Here is a 17,989-nt window from a genome sequence, read left to right on the forward strand (position 1 = left end):
GGTTTCACCGTGTTAGCCAGGATGGTCTCCATCTCCTGACCTCATGATCTGCCCGCCTCAGCCTCCCAAAGTGCTGGGATTACAGGCATGAGCCGCCACACCCAGCCCCCCCGCAAAAATTTTAAAATTAGCCAGGCGTGGTGGCTTACACCTGCAGTCCTGGCAACTCCGGAGGCAGAAGCGGGAGGATCGCCTGAGCTCAGGAATCCAAGGCTGCAGTGAGTTATGGTGGCACCACTGCAGTCCAGCCTGGGTGACAGAGCGAGACCCTGTCTCAAAAATAAATAGGCCAGCGCAGTGGCTCACGCCTGTAATCCCAGCACTTTGGGAGGCCAAGGCATGTGGATCATGATGTCAGGAGTTCGAGACCAGCCTGGCCAACCTGGTGAAACCCCATCTCTACTAAAAATACAAAAATTAACCGGGTGCAGTGGCGGACACCTGTAATCCCGGCTACTCAGGAGGCTGAGGCAGAAGAATCACTTGAACCCCGGAGGCGGAGGTTACAGTGAGCCGCGATCGCCACTGCACTCCAGCCTAGGTGACAGAGCAAGACTCCGTCTCAAAAAATAATAATAAGTAATAAAAACTTTAAAAACATAAAGAAGCCCCAGCCTGCCTCTCTGGTCGGTGACTTAAGATGAGCTTCATCCAGTGACCTTCCCTGCCTGCCTGAGAGTCTGCAGTCCCCGGAGCCCAGCCCAGGCTCTCAGGACAAAGGCAGCTGGCAGACAGGAGGCTCCCTGCACACAAACCAAAACCCCCCACCAAAAAGAGAGACTGTCTTGAGGCAGACACTTGCTTCCAAGGACGGGCAGGTGGAAGGCCTGAGAGAGCAAACTCTGCCCTGAGATGCAACATCCAAAGTGCCACCCATGAGCAGGTGACAGGGGTGCCCATCTGCCTCACGGACCAGAGTGCTGGGAGCGGGAAAGTGACTCTAGGGGCCGCAGGGCTGGAAGGTGGCCCCTTCCAGCAAGAAGAGGTGGACACCAGACCCTTTCTCTCCAGGGCGGGGAGCAGTCTAGGCTCGGATAGACAGACGGGGAAGACGGACAGCCAACTCCACAGTCTCCTGCCAACGCCCCAAGCCGCCTGCTTGCTTAAGCAACTTGTGGCCAAAAGTGGTGGCCCCAGAGGTGCCAATGAGGGCAGAGGTTCTGTCTACTCATGTATTGGAGACAGCCCGGATTTCTGCTGGGCCACCTCAGAGAGGAAGGCGGTGAAGGTGATGAGTCTGAGGAGTCCGCAGAGGAGTAGAGGGAGGGAGGGAGGGAGGGAGGCAGGAGCCAGAGGGAGAGGGAGGAGGTTTGTTAAGAGGGTGAGAGGGGAGACTGGCCCCCGGAGCAATGGATGAAGCAGGCTGGAGAGGCCAGCCAGGCAGGCGGGGGCAGGCAGGCAGGCAGTGCACACTTGCGATCATTCACATTGCAGGCGTCACATGGCTCTGTCTCCGCCCCAGTGGGCCACAGCGGCAAAGCAGGCTAAGTGTAGGCAGACTTTTCAACAGCGCCTGGGTCCCCCACATCAGGTCTCCCTGGGGTGGGCCAATTTGAGCAGGGTGGTGGGCAGGGGGCTGGTTGTGGGGTGGGGGCAGGGGGTTGGACGTGAGGCCAGGGATCTTCCCTTCTAGCCACTCAGGTGCGCAGACTCCAGAAATCTTTCCCATCCAGAGGAATTCTCAAGCAGCTGGGGCTGCGGGGGGAGGGCGAGCTCTGGGTTTCTGGATGCCCGCAACGTCCACGCCAGAGCCCAGAAAGCCGAGAGCAGCCCAATGCCCGCACCTCGGCATGGGAGACCCTCCCGCCTCCCTGCGTGCTTGACAAGGCCACACCCGCTGCTCCTGCGGGGTCTGGTGCACACCCCGCTAGCGTCCGCAGCAGGCTGGGGAGCAGAGGGGCTCTGAGGACCAAGAAAACCTTTCTGGAGTTGTCCACACCTGAGGCAATGCAGCTTGCCGAGGGCTGGGGACAGGGAGGGGGGAAAAAAGTCCCATCAAAGTAACCCAAGGAAATGCAGAAAAACTTTTTATTATTATTATTATTTAAAGAAAAAAGCAACAACAAAAAAAGATCTTGGCTCAGGACATGGGGTTGGCGGTGACAGGTTGGTGGTAAATGTCAGAGCGATCTGCTGCTGCCAGACCCGGTGGGGGCGAACCCCGAGGAGGGAGGTGCACGGAGGACAGAAAGAAAAGCGTTTTGCCTACCTACGGAGCAACGAGCCAGGCTCGCACCCAAGCTCAGTGACCCGCTGCGCCGTCTGCCCTACTCCCAGCCTTCGCTTTGCGTCCAGAGTGCAGCGTGAGAGCAAATGCAAGAGACCAAAACAGACATTCAAAGCGTCATGGGGAGGGGTCAAGGGTGGAGGGATGGTCGGGCTGCTGGAAGAAGCAGACATACTAGAAAAGCCAAGCCAGTTACGGAGTTTAGTACCAGGTCAGCGAGGCCCTATTACCCAAATATCCCTTTCAAGACCTGCTCAGTGGTGGACTGGCGGGGGTGGAGGGGGGCACTGAGGAGCCTGGGCCTCCCCCGCCTCCCCTCACCCCCCGCACTCCCCTATCTGGGTCCCGTCCACTTGGCACTGCGGCGCCAGCCCGGAGCCCCTTCCTAAGAGGCCTAGGGCGCTGCCTGCTTCTCTGTGGGGTCTCAGCTGGGGCAGGAGGGCTCAAAAACTTGGAAGCGGAAACCGCGGCTTTAAGGGGGCGTGGGGTCCAGCCCATGGGGGAGATGGGGGAAAGGGAGGAGGCCGGGGAGGGAGAAGGGGATCGTAAACTAACCCAGCTCATCCACGGACAGCCCGGGCAGGGGGAGGCCTCGGAAAACGAGGCTGGCCAGTGGGTCGGGGGCCTCTCTTCTCGGTCCGGGGTGGTGTTCGCTCAGAGGGGTAGTAGCAGCCCAGGGGAACATGGGCCCCGGGGCATCGTACTCCTCGCCATACCACCTCCTGGTCACCCAAAAGGATCTCTGCCAATTTGGAGGGGAGGTCTGGGAGGGGAGGCGGTAGACCAGGAATTCAAGAGCAGGGCTGGAAAAACAGGGCGGGCGGGGGGCGGGGGCAGCATTCAGGTCCCGGGGTGCCCGAGCCAGGTCAGACCCAGGGACACGATGACACCTCCAGACCTTCCTCAGGGAGTAGCTGACATCCAGGTGTGGCTACCCAGGGCCTGGGGGATCCCCTCAGCTGGCCCTAGTGGGAGTTCGCCCTGAAGCAAATCCTAAAACCAGGGCTAGGAAAAAATGTCAGAGATTCACTTGCTTCCCTTTCTTGGGGCATTTCTGGTTGAAGGGCCCAAAAGGCTCACACACATCTAACCCCAGAAGCACAATTCTGACACTGGAAAGGGCAAGGCCAGCGGGTTCTCAGGGGCCTGGCAGCTCTCTCTTGAGAACCGAGGTGGCTGAGGACCCCGGGCTGGGACCAGGCCAGCCTCTCTCCAAACAGAGCACGATGCTCCGTCCCTTGATGCGGCAACGGAGCCGCTTTCGTATTGAATGACAGAGACCAGGGGTGTCAAAGGCTCTGGGCCCTGCACTGCCTACGCACCCTTCAAAACAGAAATACACGTGAGAAGACAAGTGTTTGTAAATAATAGTTTTTAACCACTGGCAAGTAAGAATAGAGCTTTAAGAAAATAAAAGACAAAACAAGCAACTAAAAAAACATGATGATGCTGGAGGTGAAGGCGCTTGATTTTAAACCTGAAAAATGAAATGAATGCCAATCGCTACCAGGGATATTTGAATAACACAGGCAAGCGGCAGGCGGCACGGTCCCGTCCCTACTCCTTCTGGGTGGGGAGGAGGGAGGGGAGGAGGTGGGGGAGAAACAAAATGAGAGGGAAGCGTCAACCTAATGTCTAGTAAGGACACAGCAAGAGAGACAAGGCACACAGGTTTAGTTAAAAATGAACTCGATATGTTTAATAAAGCTTGGTATTACCAAAATCGCGGTACAAACATCAAGTCACACGCCCACACGACAGAATTCCATTTACAAAATGTTCCTCGGGAAGCCTCCACCGAACCCGTGCCCAAAGAGAGCCCGAACCAAGCCTGGGGTCTCTGGGTGGGCAGAAAACGTGAGTGCGGGGGTGGGGGGAACTCGGGGGAGGGGGAGGAGGGCAGGGAGGAGGGCAAGTGGAGAGAAACGCAGACTCAAAAGCAGTCCATATAACAGCTCAAAAAGAGCCAGCCGGGGATATTATCACAATGATACAGTACAAATCAAAGCAAAAATCAAAATCATTCGGCTGATAACAGCAGGCTACGCTGCCAAGAACCCAGATGGCAGCCTTCTTGCGGCCATCCGCACGGGCCTCCTCACCCACCATCTCTCCCGTGCGCCCACTCGCTTCCCTCTCGCTCACTCGCACGCACTCTCTCGCTAGGAAACACGGAAGGTATTTTGTGTTTGGAGCTAGTAACCTTGGTCAAACGATTCCTCCGAAGAGTCGCTGAAGGAGGAACGCGCCTCGGCCTCTCGAAGCAGCAGACAAAACGGCTGCTTCCTGCTGGTGGCCGGCTTGGGTTTCAGAGTCCGGGGGGCCGCCAGGCCCCTCTTGGTCAGCTTGGGGCCACCAGCTGCCTTGCTGTTCTTTGCCACCATGCTACACAGGAGGGAAGGCGTCAGTTTGGAGCTGGAGGGGCCTTGGGCGGGCCACTCGTCCTTCAGGAATTCTTCGTCTTCCTCTGAGTCCGTATCTGCAGTCAAAGTAGTTTTTAATAGAGATAAGTCACAGGGCAGCAGGAGCTGGTGTCATTTTATTGGTTTTAATGGTTCTGAGAACGTACTGGAAGGTGCCAGAACAAACAGGTCCGAATACCTAGTAGGCGGCCGTACAAAGGCCTTGCCCCATGTCACCAGCTCCCCTCCCAGTCCAGGCTTCTCCCTTGCCCTGGGTGCCTCGGTCATTGCATGGCATCTTCCGAGTGCTGGACCCAGGCCCTTCCTAGACTGGATGCTGCCAGCCTCACCCACCAGTCACTCCAGGCTTTCCGGGCACCGGAGGATGAGAGAAGCCCTATGCTCAGGAAGGTCACGGTGGTCACTGCCTGTCCCATGGGATTACGATGGCCCAAGGGTGACAACCGCAGAGGACCTGACTCAGGAGGGAAAGGGCTCATGACAGCCAATCATGCATTCTCTTCCCAGTGCCCCTCCCAGCAGCCTCCCAGTGGCAGCACGAAACAGGCCACAGTAAGGGTGTTTACACCATGGGAATGGGCAAACGCTGTTACCGCTAGCAGATCCCTTGCCCTTCTTTCTACGAGCCAGTGAGCCGGCCCACCACTGCTGGCTTCCCCAGAGTCTCCAGCCTAACTATACAACGGAGGACAAGAGTCTTCAAATCTTCCGGGGAGACAACCAGCCAGCTTTGGGAGGGGAGCCTGCCAGGCAGGCAACGCTCCGGCCCCCGCCATGCTCACGCCATTTTGATCTGCTTTTCTTACTGGGCAAGATGGGAAGACAGGGGTTCCAGAGACAGAGAATAATCCCCTGATCTGCTGAAATCCACTCCAGACGGGGGGAACGTGAACCAACACAGCTACAGCTCTGGCAGCACCTGCCACCTCCGAGTCCAAGAGAAACCACATGCACGCATCCGTGGCGGGCATTCCTCTGACTGCTCCCACCAACACCTAAGCTTTCACTCCAGCAAGACCCCAACCTCAGGATGGTCCGGCAACTCTTGGGTGGGACAAGGGTCCAGCCCCGCCAGGCTACCAGCCCCTGCCCATCGAACCAGTCAAAGTGCGCTCTCTCTTGTATGCTCCAATCTGTCCCTCCCGAGGCTGTGTCCCAGGCTGGAGAGGCTAAGTGGGTGACAACCAACTTGGCCTCCTACAAGAACCCACAGGGAGGTCGGGTGCAATGGCTTGCATCTGTAATCCTACCACTTTGGGAGGCTGAGGCGGGCAGCTCACGTGAGGCCAGGAGTTCGAGACCAGCCTGGCCAACATGGCAAAACCCCGTCTGTATTTTTAAAAAATACACAAACTGTTGTATTTTCTATTTGTATTGTATTGTAGTGGACAGGGCCTGTTATCCCAGCTACTCCGGAGGCTGAGGTGGGAGGATCACTTGAACCCGGGAGGTGGAGGTTGCAGTGCGGCCGAGATCACACCACTGCACTCCAGCCTGGGCGACAGAGCAAGACATCATCTAAAGAAAAAAAAAAAAAAAAAAACCCACAGGGCATGCCAGCGACCCCTACAATCGAAACTGAAAAAGCAAGAGGAGACCGTTCTCGCTTCGACCTCCGTCCAGCTCAGCAACTCCCTGCTGGACACACCCCTACCTCCTTGTGAACCCTGCACTCTCTCTGACCCAGAATTGCAGAAAAGCAGATTATAAAAAATAAACAGAGGAGCGCTCTGCAGAGCCAGGTGAATCCCACAGCCACCGTCCTGCTGGAGCCAGGCCCACTGAATTCCTCACTGCTCCATGAGTCCGTTTCTCTCATCCAGGACAGTGGAGTTTTCGACACAGGCACGATGGAGTGAAGTTGCCCATTTGACCATTCCCAGACCAGGCACGGCAGCTCATGCCTCTAATCCCAGCACTTTGGGAGGCCGAGGCAGGCGGATCACCTGAGGTCAGGAGCTCAAGACCAGCCTGGCCAATGTGGTGAAACCCCGTCTCTACTAAAAATAACAACATTAGCTGGGTGTGGTGGTGCGTGCCTGTAACCCCAGCTACTCAGGAGGCTGAGGCAGGACAATCACTTGAACCCGGGAGGCGGAGGTCGCAGTGAGCCGAGATCATGCCACCGTACTCCAGCCTGGGCAAAAACAGCAAAACTCCATCTCAAAATAATAATAATAATAGTAATAATTAATAAATAAATAAAACGGACATTCCCTCACACGTGCCAAGAGTGAACACACCAGCTCGGAGCACCCCAGAGACATCAGAGACAGAGCACATCTCTGACCTCCAGCTCCACCCCATCCACGTCCACCTGAAAGTGGGGAATTCTTTCAGCTACCACCCAAACTGCATCCACAGACCCCAATCCCTCAGAAGATCAAAAGAACAGCAATCTCCCCCGACTTCCCTGAACCCCCTTCACTTTTCCAAAATGAGCAGAGATTGAGAGAGCAAAAGAAAGCCCCTCCCTTCCCCCTCAGAGTGATGAGTCTCTGGCACTGTCTCTTCCTGCTTGTGCCCACACACTGGCCAGGAGCCTAGGCTACACTGCTCTGATCACACCCATCCCAATCAAAGAAGCACTGAAACCACGACACTCTCATATGTCCTCAGCACAGAAGGCATGAGCCAGCTGCTTAACTCACACCCACAGGGAGCATGAGTCCTGGTGACCTGCTAGCCTAGGACAGACGAAACACACGCACCCTGAAAAAACTAGCAGCTTAATTCCGTGCCAGGTGCCACGTTCAGCTCTCTGCCCACGTAAGCTCACTTAAGGCCCCCAACGACCCCGTAAAGCAGGTGACGATATCTTAACTCTGAGTCCATAAACACTTTTTATTTCCTTAAGAAAACATGCTTTACGGTATCAATAAACACGGCGACTTTTCGCCCTTGACAGTCAAACTCCCCCTTCTCCGCCCATGAACCGGCCAGAGCCAATCAAAAGCCCCAGACACACAGAACCAGGCAGCTGCCAATGCAAAAGCTCTCCACCCGCCCCAGGGCCTGGGGATTCCCAGAACAAACACCACTGACACTGACATGGGCCAGAACCCAGGAAGCTCCCTCCTTCTGGCCTCCCTGCAGCTAGCCACAAACTTAGCACCTGTCCGCCCTGGGCATGAGGTGCTCTGTCCACAGATACTGAGCAAGCACCCACTACCTGCCAGGCAGCAGGTTCTGGGCCACAAGAGGCCATAACCATGAGGACGCTCCAATCTGACAGTCTCTTGTTAAATGAGATAAAACTCCATTCTTCAGTCCCATCAGGAATGCTCCATTTCAAGAGCTCAATAGCAGCTAGGCAAGGCAGCTCACGCCTGTAATCCCAGCACTTTGGGAGGCTGAGGCAGGAGGATCTCTTGATCCCAGGAGTTTAAGACCAGCATGGGCAACACAGCAACACTCAGCCTCTATAAAAATAAAAATAGTAGTAGTGTGCGCCTATGGTCCCAGCTATTCGGGAGGCTAAAGTGGGATGCTTGCTTAAGGCCAGGAGTTCCAGACTAGCCTGGAAAACAGGGAGACCCCATCTCTACGAAAATAAAAATAAATTAGCTGCACGTGGTGGTACACAGCTGTAGTCCCAGATACTCAGGAGGTTCAGAGGGGAGGATTGCTTGAGCCCAGGCACCAGCCTGGGAAACACTGCAAGACCCTGTCTCTACAAAAAATTTTAAAAATTAGCCGGGTGTGGTGGTGCTCACCTAGTCCCAGCTACTCGGAGGGCTAAGGCAGGAAGATCACTTGAGCCCAGGAGCTCGAGGCTGCAGTGAGTTATGATGGCCCCACTGCACTCCAGCCTAAGCAATAAGAAGAGACCCTGTCTCAAAAAACGCACGGCACAGTAGCTCACGCCCATAATCCCAGCACTTTGCAGGCCGAGGCAGGTGGATCACCTGAGGTCAGGAGTTTAGGACCAGCCTGGCCAACATGGCAAAACCCCGTCTCTACTAAAAATACAAAATTAGCTGGGTGTGGTGGCACAAGCCTGTAGTCCCAGTTACTCGGGAGGCAGAGCCAAGGGAATCGCTTGAACCCAGGAGCTAGAAGTTGCAGTGAGCCAAGATCGCACCACTGCACTCCAGCCTGGACGACAGAGTGAGACTCCGTCTCAAATTAAAAAAAAAAAAAAAAGAAAGAAAATAGTGGGACACAGCCATGATGGCAGCAGGTTCCAGTGGGTAGGTGGGTCGGGCCGAACCAGGTTTAACCCCGAGTCGCCTCTCCGCACCCGAGCGCACACACTCCCCTCTGGCTCTCGGGCCACATCATCCCCAGTAACAACATGGGGGTACCACTGTCAGAGCTGCCACAGACACAGTAACGCCAATGAACCCCTGCATCCATAGCCGAGCACGGTGGGCGCTCCATAAACACTGCTTCCGCCAACACTTCGCGACAAAGCCGTGGTCCGCAACAGACGGCATGCTTCCTGTGGGTAGGGGAGTCCGGTCACCTCTAGGACCCTCAAGAGCAGTCGCGCTCCAGGCCTCTCTAGGCCAAACAGCCGCAAACTCTATGACGCACAAGGCTTCCTCGCCTATGACATCCGGTAGGCAAATGGCGGGCGGGCAAGACAGGGCCGGCGGAGGTCGGCTCCCAACCGCCAATCACGGGCGCCCACCAATCACAAGCACCTGCCTGGCATCACACCCGCCAGTCACAGGCATATCCGCTTCAGGCGGCCTCCCCCCCCACTTCCGGCTTGGAGGCCATGCCAAGCTCAGGCACTGTAGTGCGCCCCAGAGAGAGAGCGAGAGCGAGAGAGAGAGTGAGGGGCGGGGGGGGAAGGAGGACGGTGGAGAGAAGAGGGGAGAAAAGGAGAGAAGCAGCGGACCAGAGGTGGCGCGGCATACGCTACTTACTGTAAGAGTAGCTGCTCACTTCCGAGGCAAACGGGGAATGGGCCGACTTGGGCTGGCCTCTGGCCTTGAACCCCACCTCCATCTTCCTGGTTTTGGCTGCCCTTTTGTGTTTACCTTCTCTGGAGGATTTCAGAGACAGGCCGAGGCCCTTGGCCAGCGCCTTCCTGTTCTTCCCCAGCAGGCTGTCGTAAGGAGTCAAGTACCTGCCGCAGCCCCCGCTAGTTTTCGATTTCCCCCCAGCACTGTCCGAAAACTTGAAGGGCGACTTCAACTTGTCCTGCTTGGTGAGGGAGAGGGCCTTGTCGAGCTTGCTTGCCAACTGCTCCTGGTCGCTGGCCATCTTCTTCTTCTTAATCTTTAGCTGGAGAGGGAAGGTGGGTCATGGGTTAAAAGATCTGACAAAACAGTATAGTGGGTTTCAGTGCACATGCTCTGCCCAGCCTGGGCTCCAATCCTTCACCTGCCTCTGTGATTTAACTCCTCTTAGCACGCATATATATTTATTTTTTTTTTAGAGACGGAGTCTCGCTCTGTCGCCCAGCCTGGGGTTCAGTGGCGCGATCTCGGCTCACTGCAACCTCCACCTCCCAGGTCCAAGCATTTCTCCTGCCTCAGGCTCCCGACTAGCTGGGAGTCGCAAGTCACTGCAGCCTCGACCTCTGGGCTCTGTGACCCTCCCGCCTCAGCTTTTCTGGTAGCTGGGAATACAGGCGTGCGCCACCACTCCTGGCTAATTTTTATTATTTTTATTTTTGTAGAGCTGGGGTTTCATCATGTTGCCCAGGCTGGTCTCAAACTTTTAGGCTCAAGCCATTCTCCCACCTCAGCCTCCCAAACTGTTGGGATTCCAGGCTGACCACGACTGGCCAGCTTCAATGTGTAACTCTGTAAAATGGGGGTACTTGTGTCTGGGTATCGCAAGGTGCTTCTGAAGATGAACTCAGATAAGGTATGCAGTGACCACAACGTCTGGTACAAGGTAACCACTTATTAAATAGCTGGTGCTGTGGTTACACTGATCGCTGGCCCTGGCTTTCCGTGGCACTGCTTGGTGCCTCCTAAGGAAGTACTTCGACCAAGTGCTGCTGCCGATGGCCTGAAGAAGGCAGCCGGATTAAGGGAGGAGGAAAGGAATCAAGATCAAAAACCCAGATTGAAGCGCAGCTGATATGCCTATCTCAGCCACCTACAGCAGCTGACAAAGTACTAGTGCACACTCCAAACCAGTTCATCCAACTAAAGGGGCCGAAGCTGCCAAAAAAAATGCCTCAAGTGTTCCTTGGATGCCTGAAGCAGAAAGAACGATTAGAGATTTCACAGATTAAATTCCTGCCTGCATGTCTATCGTCAGCTGTAGTCATTTGTTGAAGCGAAACACGCAGTTTCAAAGCCATTAATGCCCCAGGTTTGAACATTTTATCTCTATTTTCTTTAATCAGGTGACATTTCTTAAGGAAGAAAAAAGCTGGGATGGTGTCAATTAAAACAAAAGCATCCCTCACCACAATTTGAAAGTAAAAACGATCTGGTGTTAACACTGGCAATCTTTCTTCTCTTAGACCCCGTCTCCCTCCATGAGCCTGCCCCTCTCAGCCAAGTCAACCAAAATACCCCTCAGCTGGGTGCAGTGGCTCACACCTGGAATTCCAGCACTTTGGGAGGCTGAGGTAGGCAGATCACCTGAGGTCAGGAGTTCGAGGCCAGCCTGGCCAAGATGGTGAAACCCCATCTCTACTAAAAATACAAAAATCAGCTGGACATAGTGGTGGGCACCTGTAATCCCAGCTACTTGGGAGGCTGAGGCAGGAGAATCGCTTGAACCTGGGAGGCGGATGTTGCAGTGAGCCGAGATCGTGCCACGGCACTCCAGCCTGGGTGACTGAGTGACTCTGTCTCAAAAAAACAAACAAACAAAAAAAAACTACCCCTTTGCACTGGACTTTATGGGGAGGGATGGCAAGGTACATTAGTATTTACAAAAAGGCACCTTAAGTGGATGATTTCAATGTTCTGAAGAAATAAGAAGAATCAAGGAGTTGGCTCTCAGCCCATTACCCCTGGAGAGTTCAGAGAGGAAATTACCATGGCACCAAGCCCTTGTTTCTTAGAACTACAGAATGGCAGAGCTGCTCATTAAACTATTACACCATTAAACAACAGAGCAATTGTATTACTTGGTTAAGAACTTGTGTCTCTCCTTGGCTTTAGCAAAGGGTCATGCAGCACACAGAGGGAGATAGCTTTTAGGCCTCCTGTCTCTGAGGCTGTGTTACGTCGGTAGGTCTCTGACCTCCTCTGGGCCTTAATCTCCCCCTCTGTACAATAAGGAAGATTGGAGAAGAGTCATTCCGGCATTGAAGACAACCACTTCTAAGGTTTCTGTACAGGAACAAAGGGCCTGCGAAGGGAGCGTGAACTCTTAACACACCCTCCAGACACCTCCCTGAAAGATCTCACACACCTGGAAGACTGGGTTACTCACCTGACTGATGAAGTCCGACGAGGCCTCATGTTCATCCCAAGTCTGGTTCCTCCCCCTGGCTTTCCCCATTCCGATGAGGGCATCATGTTCCTCCTCAGACCCCTTGTGTCTCTTTCTTATCCCTGCTCCCAGCTCATAATCATCTGATGTCAGCAGAGACTTGCTGCTCAGCCTGAAACGCAGACACACTGCCGGTCAGCACCCTGGCCAGACAAGGCTCGCAGGCTGAGGTCCACCCTCATGGCCCTGAAGGGTTGGGCTCTGGACCCTGAGCGTGGACAGTGATGGCAGAGTGACGGGCGTGGGGAGATGGATCTTGTAAAACAACAGTGCTGGAATTCTGGGATATTTGTGAATGAGGCAGAATGAGAGTTTAAGGTGAAAGAAGGAAGAAAGCATTTTCTTTCTTGTGCGCTTTTACGCGTACACTCACACACACACACACACATCTCTGTGCGGTCAGATACCTATTTACCAAATCGTGCCAAGAACAAAGATCAGAAACGCCAAGGAAATCCACCAGGATGGCAGGGGGAGTTCAGAACACAAGTTTACACGAAGAAGGATTCCAGTCTCTCTTTTCCAGTAAGGGAAAAAAAAAACGAAGAAGGAGCCACTTGCTGGTCTCTGGAATCCCGTGCGCAGTGGGGACACAGACATGGCTTAGAAGCCCCACTTGCTTGCTTTAAGCTGAAACTTCACAGGTGATCGAAACAGCCGATCTGTACTTGGCACTCACTCACTGTGTGTCTTGCACTGTGTTAGTGGCTTTATATTTTGGCCACAAACGTTTGCTGCTGCTGTATTTTATTTATTTATTTATTTATTTATTTATTTATTTAATTTATTTTTAGATGGAGTCTCACTCTGTTGCCAGGATGCAGTGCAATGGCTCGATTTCAGCTCACTGCAACCTCTGCCTCCCAGGTTCAAGCAATTCTCCCACCTCAGCCTCCCAAATAGCTGGGATTACAGGCACACACCACCACACCTGGCTAATTTTTGTATTTTTAGTAAAGAAGGGGTTTCTCCATGTTGCCCAGGCTGGTCTCAAACTCCTGACCTCAAGTGATCCGCCTGCCTCGGCCTCCTAAAGTGCTGGGATTACAGGCGTGAGCCACCGTGGCCAACCTGTGTACTTATTTTTTTATAGATGAGAAAACAGGCTCGGAAAAGCTAACACCTGGCCCGAGGTCGGTCACACTAAGGGGTGGTGCTGGGACTCAAGAACAGGAAATTTAACCAGTGCAGGCCACACCCCTGACCACCACGCTGCTGGTGGCCGCAGCCTCCTGCCCTCTTCTCCGGGAAGCTCTCCCTGCCCCTGCTGCGGCTGGTGAGGGAGATTTCTACCTCTCTCCATCCTCTCTTCGGTCAGAAACATCCAAGAATGTTAAATGCAAGACATGGGGGCCTTGGGGCTGTTTTATCCTGAGAAGAACTGTGGCCTTCCCACTGCCTCTCCTGTGCCCTCCGAAGGTCCCCCCACGCTCCTTCTGCTTCCTCAGGGCAGGTCTTGAGCCGCCTAGCGTCTACCCCACCCTCCTGCCCCAGGCTCCCAACACTCCAACCCCTTTCCTTGACGGGCCCCTTTCCGATCGTGCTACAGACACCGAGGGAAGGACGAAGCATCTTTTCTGTGCACGCCTCGCCCTGCGGGAAAAGCTCTCATTCCAGCTGGCGTTCAGAAAGACCCACACAGGTGCCCCACAAGGCTGCGACCGCCGCCCGAGGAGGAGAAGCTTGTCCCCAAGTGCCAGAAGGGGCCAGCCCTGGTCTCGGGGCAAGCCAGCAGGTCCGGCACGGCGGAGACCGAGCGACAGCCGGGTCATAGCCCGTCCCAACAAGCAAGGCTGGCAGCCCAGCGGGTCCTTCCGCAGGGAGGAGGCGCGTGGAAAAGAGGAGGAATTAGGCCCTAGGCGTGAGGAGGCAGGCGTGGCAGGAAGACAGGTGAAGCGCTGGGTTAGGACACGGGAAAAATCTGTCGCAGGAGCCATCCTCCAGGCTCAGCACCGGCCTCGCTCCCTCCTGGCCCGGGCAGCACAGGCCGTGCTCCCCGAGGGCCACTGCTGCGGGTAGGTCAGAGCCCGAGGGACGCGAGGTCCCCCAGCACCCCGAGGCAGGCCCTGCGTGGGGCCCGGGCTCCTCCCCTCAAGCTGTGTGCCAGTCCCCGACCCACCGAGGGGCCAGCCTTACTTTCCGCTACTGTGGCCGCTCTTCCCTCTCTTGCGGGGGGGCGACAGGGCGCTCGGGGCGTGGGTCCGTTTCCGCGGCCTGCCAGGGCCTCTGCGTGCCAAGCTTCTATGGGGTTCCTCGCGCCTGTCCCTTAAAAAGAATCACACGCTTGGCTGTGACGCTGGGGGGCGGGCGGGGCGCGGAGAACGGGCACACGATGCACACACGGCGCCGGGTCCACGCACACCTCGACGGCTGCTGCGCGCCTGGGGGCCTGGTGGGCCGGGGCAGGGGCCCCACGGGGCGGGCGGGGGACACACTCACTCGGAGTCCCGGCGGCGCTGCAGCTTCACCAGCTCACGCTGCTTCTCCTTGTACTGGCGCTGCACCTCGGCCAGCCGCATCCGGAAGTCCAGCTCCAGGGCGTCCATGTCCTCCAGGGAGGACTTCATGGCATACATCTGGGGGAAGAACCGGGAGAGGAGGAGGGGGTGAGGATGCCACTGCCTAACGACGCCCACCGCCCACCCAGGGGTGCCCCTGAGGAAGGGGAGACTGCACTGGGAGCTGGGGCTCGAGTCCCACCGCTGCCACCTCCTGACTGTGGCCATGGCCTCATCGTATGCAAGGGACCCTGTGCTGGCTCTGCGGGGCTGTGGCAGTGCTCAATTAGATGTCATGCCTGAAGCACAGTGCTTGCGTGTGACACCTGCTCCATCAGTGAGGGCCACTGTGTCATTTATAAACGGAAGGCTCAGCAAGGGGATGCTGCAGCCCCAGGCCCCGTGGGCACCTAAGGCCAGAGCTACATGTGACCCTGGGCTACTCTGTTTCCAGTGGATCACACCGCGACCTGTGTGATGAGCCTGACATGCTAGCAGACAGGTAAACTGAGTCCCCGAGAAGGGCAACCACTTGACTGGGACCACACAGCACATCAGCACAAGGAGCTGAACGTAGCTCAGGCCTCTCTGGCGCCAAAGCCAGCCACGCCCCAGGCAGTAGGGCACCTCCACAGAGGGGCCTCCCACCCAGCCTCCCCCGCGGACCCCAGGGAGGAAGCAGCCAGCCGCTCACCCGCTCCTCCTTCTTGCGCATCCAGCTGTACTTCTTGTTGGGCTTCAGCTCCCGCGGGAGCCGCAGGTTCTTGAGTGGGTCCACCACGGGCCCATCCAGCACCTCCCTCAGCATGTGGCTGCCAGCTGCCAGCAGACTCTCCAGGGAGGGCCGCGCCACCAGGGCCCGCTCCGCACCTGTGGACAGGAGGTAGGTAACAGGGCGCTGCTGCCACCCCTTCCCCAACCCCAAACGGGGATGCCGAGGCCCAAAGCAAGCGCAGGCCCCAGGCCACACGTGCCCATCCCCCAAGGTGCTGAGTAGACAGAGGCCTTTGTGACATGCCGGAAGTCCTGAGCATCTCTAAACAAGAACGGGGAGAAGGCCAGGCATGGTGGCTCACGCCTGTAATCCCAGCACTTTGGGTGGCTGAGGCGGGCAGATCACCTTAGGTCGGGAGTTCAAGACCAGCCTAGCCAACATGGTGAAACAGTGAAACCCCACCTCTACTAAAAATAACAAAAACTAGCCGGGTGTAGTGGCACACGCCTGGAATCCCAGCTACTCGGGAGACTAAGGCGGGAGAACCACTTGAACCCGGGAGGCAGAGGTTGCAGTGAGCTGAGTTTGCACCACCGCATGCCAGCCTGAGCAACAGAGCAAGACTCCATCTCAAAAAAAATAAATAAATAGGCCAGGCGTGGTGGCTCACGCCTGTAATCCCAGCACTTTGGGAGGCCGAGGCGGGCAGATCATGAGGTCAGGAGATGGAGACCATCCTGGCTAACACGGTGAAATCCCATCTCTACTAAAAAATACAAAAAAATTAGCCGGGTGTGGTGGCGGGCGCCTGTAGCCCCAGCTACTCGGGAGGCTGAAGCAGGAGAATGGCGAGAACCTGGGAGGCGGAGCTTGCAGTAAGCCGAGATGGCGCCACTGCACTCCAGCCTGGGTGACAGAGGGAGACTCCATCTCAATCAATCAATCAATCAATCGAACAGGAGAGAAGGCAGCACGCCTGGCACAGGGTCCTGTGCTCTATTCACAGAGTACAGGCTAGGCACAGCATAAGCCTCCAGAGGGAGGGCCTCCAAAGACCGAAGGGTTCTTTCCAGCAGTACGGCTCTCCTTCCACTTATTTGTACGTGCATTTTTCCATAGTGAATATGCATAGCTCTTATAATCAGAAAAAAGCCCAGGATGAAAAACACAAACCAAGCAGAAAGGTGTAAAAAAAAAAGACAGCCCGCTTCCTTCCTCCTCCAACACACAGGTCCCTCCCTCGGGAGGCTACTGTGGGTGCAGTTTCCAGTAGACAGTTCCAGAAATGATTATGCATATTCAAATGCACACGACATCCACGGGCATCCTTTAAAATATAAAAATAAGCCGGGTGCAGTGGCTCACGCCTGTAATCCCAACACTTTGGGTTGCCAAGGCAGGTGGATAATTTGAGGTGAGCAGTTTTGAGACCAGTCTGGCCAACATGGTGAAACCCTGTCTCTACTAAAAATTCAAAAATTAGCTGGGCATGGTAACAAGCACCTGTAGTCCCAGCTATTCGGGGGTTGAGGCATAAGAACTGCTTAAACTCAGGAGGCAGAAGTTGCAGTGAGCTGAGATTGAGCCACTCCAACCTGGGCAACACAGCGAGACTCCAGCTCAAAAACAAAATTAAATAAAATATAAATGTAAACTGGGTGCCTGTAGTCCCAGCTACTCGGGAGGCTGAGGCAAGAAGATCACTTGAACCCAGGAAGTTGAGACTGCAGTAAGCCATGATCACACCACTGCACTCCAGCCTGGGCAACAGAGCGAGCCTGTCTCAAAGAAAACACACACACACACACACACACACACACACACACACACACACACACACACACGATCTCAGGCTGGGCACGGTGGCTCATGCCTGTAATCCCAGCACTTTGGGAGGCCGAGGCGGGTGGATGGCTTGAGGCCAGGAGTCTGAAACCAGCCTAGCCAACATGGTAAAACCCCCTCTCTACTAAAAATACAGAAATTAGCTGGGCATGGTGGTGACCACCTGTAATCCCAGCTACTTGGGAGGCTGAGGCACCAGAATCGCTTGAACCCAGGAGGCAGAGGTTGCGGGGAGGCATGATAGCCCCACTGTACCCCAGCCTGGGCAACAGAGGGAGGCTGTCTCAGGAAAAAAAAAAAAAAAAAAAAGATCTCAATCAGTACATACTGTATCACATTTTGCTTTTTTTCTGCTTAATGTCTTTTCTCATATTAGCACAAAGCAAACATCTACCTCCTCATTATGAGCTTGGACCTTATAAAAACTGCCATCTCTAAAGGTCAAAAACACTAGAATGCCAGCAATTTTAAATGGCCAAACGTGCAAAGGAGCCTACGCAGAATCATGTGGGGGGGCGGGGGCGGAAGGGCAGCCTAGAACACTCTTGAATTGATGAGTTTTGATTCATCTAAGTCATCTCCCATTGATGGCATTTAGATTGTTTCCTGTCTTTTCAAGATAGGGTCTCACTCTGTCCCCCACCCTGGCTGGAGTTCACCATCACACGTCACCACAGCCTCAAGCTGCCAGGCTCAAGCAATCACCCTGCCTCAGCCTCCTGAGTAGCTGGGACCACAGGCACATGCCGTCACACCCAGCTAGTTTTTGTATTTTTTTGTAGAGATGGGGTCTTGCTATGTTTCCCAGGCTGGTCTTGAACTCCTGGGCTCAAGTGATCCTCCCGCCTCAGCCTCCCAAAGT

At 55.2% G+C, this 17,989-nt stretch overlaps 1 protein-coding gene across 16 annotated transcripts in view, besides 3 other annotated features; it reads right to left on the reverse strand.

Annotated features, from left to right (window-relative positions):
* The window catches only part of TNRC18 (trinucleotide repeat containing 18), a 117,024-nt gene that overhangs the window by 40,578 nt on the left and 58,457 nt on the right, over positions 1–17,989 (reverse strand). For 13 of the 16 annotated variants that reach the window (XM_017012737.3, XM_047420983.1, NM_001080495.3 and 10 more), the window contains 6 exons: positions 15,262–15,437; positions 14,509–14,645; positions 14,206–14,334; positions 12,010–12,181; positions 9,528–9,888; positions 4,431–4,706 (listed from right to left, as the gene is read on the reverse strand). In XM_017012737.3, the coding sequence (XP_016868226.1) occupies positions 4,431–4,706; positions 9,528–9,888; positions 12,010–12,181; positions 14,206–14,334; positions 14,509–14,645; positions 15,262–15,437 (1,251 nt within the window). The remainder of the gene's footprint in view (positions 1–4,430; positions 4,707–9,527; positions 9,889–12,009; positions 12,182–14,205; positions 14,335–14,508; positions 14,646–15,261; positions 15,438–17,989) is intronic. The other 3 variants (XM_017012732.2, XM_047420981.1, XM_017012731.2) reach the window with 1 other exon arrangement.
* Positions 532–1,373: an enhancer, noted in NCBI's record as "H3K4me1 hESC enhancer chr7:5387551-5388392 (GRCh37/hg19 assembly coordinates)". NCBI's record gives its function as "activates a minimal SCP1, AML or CMV promoter by ChIP-STARR-seq in primed H9 embryonic stem cells {active_cell/tissue: H9 hESC(primed)}" and the evidence as "EXISTENCE:reporter gene assay evidence [ECO:0000049][PMID:30033119]".
* Positions 3,058–3,898: an enhancer, noted in NCBI's record as "H3K4me1 hESC enhancer chr7:5390077-5390917 (GRCh37/hg19 assembly coordinates)". NCBI's record gives its function as "activates a minimal SCP1, AML or CMV promoter by ChIP-STARR-seq in naive H9 embryonic stem cells {active_cell/tissue: H9 hESC(naive)}" and the evidence as "EXISTENCE:reporter gene assay evidence [ECO:0000049][PMID:30033119]".
* Positions 8,735–9,237: an enhancer, noted in NCBI's record as "H3K4me1 hESC enhancer chr7:5395754-5396256 (GRCh37/hg19 assembly coordinates)". NCBI's record gives its function as "activates a minimal SCP1, AML or CMV promoter by ChIP-STARR-seq in naive H9 embryonic stem cells {active_cell/tissue: H9 hESC(naive)}" and the evidence as "EXISTENCE:reporter gene assay evidence [ECO:0000049][PMID:30033119]".

Source organism: Homo sapiens, chromosome 7 (assembly GCF_000001405.40).
Source record: "Homo sapiens chromosome 7, GRCh38.p14 Primary Assembly".
NCBI lineage: Eukaryota > Metazoa > Chordata > Mammalia > Primates > Hominidae > Homo > Homo sapiens.